The following is a 7,672-nucleotide window of genomic DNA, read 5'->3' as shown; positions in this document are numbered from 1 at the left end:
GCCTTTTTCTGGTTCCTCCTGTGCCTGCAGCAGAGTGACCTTGGACAGGGAAAGGCCTGGCTGAGCAGAGATGACCCCCAATAACAGCCAAAGAAGAAGCTGTGCTCGTGCAACTGACAGAACCTGCCCACCAGCCAGGCTGCTCCTCACAGACCTTCTTCTCGTGCTGTGCAAACAGAATGAATGGTGCCAAAGGCCAGGTGGAGTTACACTATTGGCATGGGAAGAGGCCTAAGGTGTTCATATTTTTGTATGCACAGAACAAAAACTTTGAAAGGATATCCTCCCACTTCCTCCTCCTCCTCCTCCTCTTCCTCTCCTGCTCTCTTCCTCTTTCTTCTCCCCCTCTTCCTCCCCCTCCCCCTCCTCCCTCTCCTCCTCCCCTTCCTCCTCCTCTTTCTCCCCCTCCTCCCCTTCCCCCTCCTCTTCATCCCACTTCCCCTTCTCCCTCCTCCTCCTCTTTCTTCTCCTCCTCCTCCTCCTTCTTCTTCTTCCTCTTCTTCTTCTTCGATTTTCCTGCTTTAGCTCCATTTTTCAGGAAATTATACATTTCCCATTCTATTTGTGGGCAGGGTGTGTAGCTCACCCTTCCCGCAAGGGGGAACATTTTTCTGGCTTTGTTGATTTCTGTATTATTTCTATTTTTTCAAAGAGATGAAGTGTTTTTTTTTAAACAAGTAAAGAAAAAACAAAACATTGAATGAATAAATAAGTAAATAAATACATGGCTTTAGCCCACGCTCTCCCTTTTCAAGAATTTGCTCTTCCATAAATCCACCTTCCCCCAGGGACTTACTCAGTTTAAGCAGTCAGTGATCTTCCAACTAGTCCCCTTGGGATAGAAAACTGAAGAATTGAGGCCCTGTGGGGGTGGCTGTGGAAATCACACAGCCAGGGCTGTCCCAGTTCCCTGCCATCACTATGACTAAGGCAATGCCTGCTGGCCAGTATCCAGCCAAAATCCCTCCAAGGATGGGGAGAGAAGAGAAGCCTCTCTTTCCAGCACACCCAGAGTGGCCCTGATTGGCTAGGCCAGGGGCACTGGATCAGCATCTCCCAGGCTCAGAGAGTTTCCTTCCTAAGGCCCCAGGGTTCTCTCCCACCAGCTGACCTCAGAGGATCTGCCTTCATCTCTTAGAGATGTGAGAAATCATGGTCCCCAGCAAGCAGGAGGCAGGTTCCTGAGGCTGCTCAGGGCCACTGCACAGCTGACACCTCCTTCCCAGCAGCCTTCCAGCTCCACCTGCAAAGGAACGTGTGAGAACGGGGTCCAAACCGTCCCATCATGCCTGTCCTTCCCCCAGGACAGTAGGTGTCTACTCACAGAAGTCCACACAACTCAAAGCAAAGAGAACCCACTCAAGGCGGTGAGCAGAGTCTCTCCTTATCCAGCCCTCTTCCTAAGAGAAGAACTAAATGACCAGGCAAATCAGAGGTGTCACCACACACAGTGACAAGGGGAGCTCTTGTCCAGCTGGACTGGGCCTCACTTGAAGGCTTATTGGGGAATTAGTTAATCAGCAGTCCAGCAGCCTCCCGGAGCCCCCAGACAAATGGAAAGGACATTTCTGGGGTTCATCTCCCAGCCCCCTTTCCTGCCCTCTACCCAACCATGCCCTTATGCCTCATACTCCAGTTAGACTAAATGCACCCAGCACTCATCATTTATGAGGCTTTGCATACGGTAATTTCTCAGCAGAGACCACCCCCTTCCCTCCCTCCTCCCCCGCCTGGATAACTCTTACTTCAAATGCAATCCGTGCCCCTGGAAAACCACCCTGCCATTTCCCCTAACTTCCTTGGTGTCCCTCCTCTGGCCAGGCCCACTGGCACCCTGTGCCCCCAGAATAGCCCTGATCCTCAGTCTTTTGTGGATCATAGGTCTGTCTTTGTATAGATGCAGGAGTCCTTGAGAACTTTGCCTTTCTATAGCCCCAGTTGCCAGCACCTAGCAGCGCAGCACTGAGTAGCTGCTCAATAAAAATGTGTTGAAGTGAATAAAGCCATGAATTAGAATGTAGATTAAGACCTAGAGGCCAGGAGAGGTGGCTCATACTTAGAATCCCAATATTTTGGGAGGCCGAGGCAGGAGAATTGCTTGAGAACAGGAGTCCAAGACTAGCCTGGGCAATATGGCGAGACCCCATCTCTACAAAAAAAAAATAGTTGGACTGTGTGCCTGTGGTCCCATCTACTCAGGAGGCTGAAGTGGAAGGATCCCTTGAGCCTGGGAGGTAGTGAGCCATGATCCTGCCACTGCACTCCCGCCTGGGTGACAGAGAAAGACCCTGTCTCAAAAAATGTTTAAAATTTAAAAAATTTAAGAAGACCTAGAATTTAAACTCCTCCCATTGGTACAAGGAAGGAGTGAAATGAAGGCTCCTTCTCCTGACATCCCAAACTACATCTGATAGTCTGTTCTGCCTGTTGGCCAGGCCCCAGACCTCCACCTTCTGACTCTATCCTCTCCTTGCCCTTTGCCTCCATGAAGCTCTTTCTAACCACCCTGGTGTCTGAACCCCCAAGCCCTTGCTGCCTGAGCCCTTCACCTGCCACTCGATTGGTCCTGCTTTGGTTCCTGATTAGATGTGGGCCTGATTCTTCTCCCTACCCAGGGCTGAAAGCTCCAAAAAGGCAGCCAGCCTGGCTTCTGCTCCTTTGCCTCCCCCAAAGGAGAGGTGCGGGGTATGGCCCAAAGTCTGCATTTCATAAATTAGCAAAATGGCTGAGTGAATTGATGAATGGCTTAATTTCCAAGGAGGGTTTCACATTATTACACAGCTCCCTACATCCCTGTGGGACTTGGTGAATCTCTTGTGCCTTCTCCAAAGAACGTGTGCTATGGCACATGGCACATGTAGGCATATTCACACTCCTCTCAGTGTGCATAAGACCCTTTGGGTCCCCTACTACCCCACACCTTCTGAGTGCCCGCTGCTCCCACCCCAGGTTCACATGTTTCTTTCCCAGCCCTACTGTAGAAGAAAGAGCTCAGGGGCTGAGGGCAGGAGCCTGATGTCACCTCAGCTTTGGTCCTGACTTGCTGGGAGGTTTGCCCTCTATATGCCTCACCTTTCTGTATCTATGTATTTTCTTTCTTTCTTTCTTTCTTTTTTTTTTTTTGAGACAGGGTCTTGCTCTGTCACCCAGGCTGGAGTGCAGTGGCACGATCATGGCTCACTGCAGTCTTGACCTCCTGGGCTCAAGTGATCTGTCATCTTGCTTCAGCTTCCTATGCAGCTGGGACCACTACCACACTTGGTTAATTTTTTTGTACAGGCAGGGTTTCACCATGTTGCCCAGGCTGGTCTCGAACTCCTGGGCTCAAGCGATCCACTCACCTTGGCCTCTGAAAGTGCTGGGATTATAGGTGTGAGCCACCACACCTGGCCCAGCATCAAAACGTTAGGCAAATTACTCCCTGCATTCGTTTACCTCATTTGGCCAGCTAGCTGGTTGAAAGGCCCATTCTTGCTCCAAAAGTCTATAATTCTGTGGATCCCATGATACTTTTATAATTTTGTGATAAGCAACTACATTTTTATCCTGTCATTGCATGTTTTATATCTGAAAGTGCACAAAAAGATTTTTATGTTCACTACCTTGCAAACAGATAAGCAAACAGAGTCATTGAGAAGGAAAGTTGGAAGTTACTCAGGAAGCTAGAAGCTAAGGAAAGACTGAAGCAAGTAGGTAAGTACCCTGGCCGGGGTAGGGGATCGGATTCCATCCAAAGCCTTCTTTGACACAGTATTCCAGGTTCATTTGCTTTCTCCACTTACCAAAAACAAACAAACAAACAAAAACCCACTAGTGCAAGACTCAGGCCAGCTCCCTCTGGCTCTTCAGAAAATGTGGTTGTTTTCTTGAATTTGGCCCTGGCTACAGCAATGACTTGAGAACGTCTGGAGAGACCTGGGTAAAAGCTGGGTGGGTAAGTTACCAGGCTCCGCCCAGACTCAGTCTCCCAGCACTACGGGCGCAGAACTGGGCTCTGAAGGCAGATGTGAGTGTCATGGTGTCTTCAGTGAGCCTGGGCTGTCAGCTCATGAAAAATTTAAAAAAGATTTTGAATTAGTTGGCATTTTTTAATGGGATGATTTTATATTTTAAAATGCAGCTTTCTGGCATATTTTGAAAATATGAGGCTGGGTGCCGTGGGTCACGCCTGCCACCCCAGCACTTTGGCAGGCAGAGACAGGAGGATTGCTGGAGTCTAGGAGTTCCAGATCAGCCTGGGCAACAAAGCAAGGCCCTGTATCTGGCCAAAAGGAAAGAAAGAAAGAGAGAGACAGAGAGAGAGAGAGAGGAAGGGAGGGAGGGAGGGAGAGAGGGAGGGAGGGAAGGAAGGAAGGAAGGAAGGAAGGAAGGAAGGAAGGAAGGAAGGAAGGAAGGAAGGAAGGAAGGAAAAGAAAGAAAGAGAGAGAAAGAAAGAAGAAAGAAAGGAAAGAAACTACCTTGCTAAGTAGTGAGCCCTCTGTCACTGGAGAAATGCAAGCAGAGACTGGAGATCATTGAACTACACCAAAGGGATAACTGTATCAAACACTTCTTAAGTCTCTTTCACCTGTGATAGTCTATGATTCAAATAGTTTAACTTCAAGGGCTCCCAGGGGGACTGAGTGGGGAAAGATGGAATGTGAGGTGCAGTGGATGAGATAAGGAGAGAACAAAGGAATGAAGTGGTGAGCTCAGCACTGTAGCTCTCAGTGTGCAGAAAAGTCAGTCAGGTTTGAGGTCAGGTCAAGGGAAACCAACAGTACATTTACATAAATGTGCTCTAAAGTTCACATTTGCTAATCTATGGGAACAGATAGATACACCGAGATAATCAACTCAGTTTGAGGCTTCTTGGAATCTTTATGCTGCTCATCACCCTGAAAGAACGAGACAGACGAGAGCAAAGTCATCTATGTGGTTACAGTGGTATTTTCCCAACTACAGGTTAGAAGTCATGAAATCAGTTTCGTTGGTTGTAACTAGCATTAAAAAAAATGGAAAATACCAGAGCGCATCACAAGTGATTAAATGACCAAATGTTTCATTAAAGTTTTGTTTCAATACTATGTAAGTCTATATATCATATATGTATGTGCACCAAATTACGATGTAAAATTGGTGAAAACGAGTTTGAAAGCCACTAGGTCAGAGACAGAGTGGGGGCAACCCTGCTCTGTGAGCCAAATCCTGTCTCAGATTAATTTTATCTGGCCAGGGGTGGAGCAAGATGGCAACCAAGTGCAATCCTGATGGGAGCAAGGTGACAACCAGGCCTGGGACCAAGCTCTGATGGGCTTCATTCCTGAGTCGAAGAGGCCACAGCAGAGTGCACAGGCAGATTCCAGACTTTCCTCGGGAAGCTGCTATCCGTTTTCTCAAATGAGGTCTGTGTGTCCCACCATTCGCAGACATACCTCCCCACCGTGACCACCACCATCCTGACACTTGCATATTGGCCACACTCCTCACCCTAGCCCAGGAGGAAGCCAGGAACTTCTGCATGCATCATGTCTTTGGAGTCCACCCCATGGCCAGTCCTGTTCCCTCCATCCCTCCATCTCAGCCCCTTAGTGCCTCTTCCATAAGATCGCCTGGGGTATGGCAATGAATTAGTGGCATAGTCTGTATCCCCTGTCTCCATATTCCTGAATTGCTTAACTTATTGAATAGGTTTCTTTAATATCATCTGCAGACTGAAGGAACTGACAAAAAATGATGGTGTGGATTTGACAGTTGCTATGAATGAGCTGCCTACAATTCTATCTAAGGCTGGCTCTCCATTGGAGCACAGGATTCTGTACTCTCACTTTCTTTTTTTTCCTTTAAATTAGAGATGGGGTCTCTCTGTGTTGCCCAGGCTGGTCTTGAACTCCTGAGCTCAAATGATCCTCCCACCTTGGCCTCCCAAAGTGCTGGGATCACAGGTGTGAGCCTCCACACCCGGCCCAACTCTCACTTTCCTGACACATCAATGATCCCCTCTCAATTATGCCCTCTGGCATACCAACATGATATAATTTTTCCCAATGTCGAAAATCAAAACATAACTTCTCTTGACCTCATAGCCCCCTCCAGCTTCAATCCTATTTTTCTATTCTCTTGGCAGTTAAAATTTCTTGAAAGCTTTCTCCAAACTTATGGATTCAAGTCTTCGTTTCAGTGAGTTCTGAGTCTTCCACTGGAACAAAACTGTTGTCAGTTCACCAAGGACCTTCATGTTGCTAAACCCAGTAGTGAACTTTTCATCTTTATCTTACTTAAGCCATTAACAGCATTTGATACCTTTGGTCACTCTGTCTTTTTTTGAAATACTTTCTTCATTTTGACTTCAAGACAACGCTCTTGTGGTTTTCCTCTTTCGACATTGCCCACTCTTTCTCATCTGCATTCTTACTTCTTCCTCATCATGCTGGTGTGTAAACACTGGAGTGCACTGATCTGGGTTCTGGACCTGTTTCTCTTATGCATCTACACTCACGGCCTAGGTGATTTTACCCACACACATGACTCTTCATACCTTCTATACCCTGTCAAATGTTAAATGATTTATCTCCAGAGCTCCGGGTGCATACATCCAACTGGCTAGTGCACATCTTCACTTGCATATCTTGTGACCATCTGAAATGTAATGTGTCCAAACAAAACTTCTCGCAGTTCTGTTTCCAGGGTAGCATAGTGAGCTCCTGCTGTATAAACCCCTACAGGTAACTACCATAAACTCTGAACAAAATAGGAAAAACAACGACCTGAAGGCCCTGGAGTGTGAACAAAAGCAGGCAGTTTCTGGAGAGGAGTTACTACTTGGAAAAGGAAGATGCATATGCGATGAGTTTCACAGTTTTTATGGCTTTTATCCAAAAGGCAGGCCATGGTAGAGTCACACAGGGCAGATAAAATGATGATAGAAAGTCTGCAGTCCTTCTGGCCTAAAGAATCAAAGGATAGAGTTCGAGGCAACCACAGCCATTGGAAAGTGAGAGGGAGAATCCATAAACAGAGAGACGCAGAGAAGAAGAACCACAAATTCTGTGTATAAACTGTCCAAATCTCTGGCCAATTCCTAGTCCATGCATGCATGAGGCAGGCTCAAGCAGCCCAGATAAGAATGTACAAACTAAACTGAGATTTAAACTGGTGCTCAAGAGATGGTTTACAGCTTGATCCAACCAAGTTAATAGCTTGCTTAAAACAAAACAAAATTTAAAAATCAGCATTTGGCCAGACGTAGTGGCTCAATCCTTTAATCCCAGTGCTTTGGGAGGCTGGAGCCAGAGGAGCACTTGAAGCCAGGAGTGTGAGACCAGACTAGGCAACATAGCGAGACACCTCTCTACAAAAAATAAAATTTAAATAAAAATTTAAAAAAGTAGCCAGGCATGGTGGCTACTTGGGAGGCTTGAGGTGGGAAGATCGCTTGAACCCAGAAGTTTGAGACTGCAGTGAGCTATGATTGTGCCACCACACTCCAGCCTGAGTGACAAACTAAGAATCTATATTAAAAAAAAAAAAAAATCAGCAGTTAGGGGAAATAACAGAATCCAGAGTCTCCACAACTTAACAATCATAATGTTCAGAATATCCAAATTATTTCATATATGAAGAACAGGGAAAATGTGATCCATTTTTAAGAGACAAGACAATCAACAGAGACTGACCCTGAGATGACCTAGAT

The sequence above is a fragment of the Homo sapiens genome, chromosome 2 (assembly GCF_000001405.40).
Source record: "Homo sapiens chromosome 2, GRCh38.p14 Primary Assembly".
Lineage (NCBI taxonomy): Eukaryota > Metazoa > Chordata > Mammalia > Primates > Hominidae > Homo > Homo sapiens.
Note: the sequence above shows the minus strand (reverse complement) of the source record.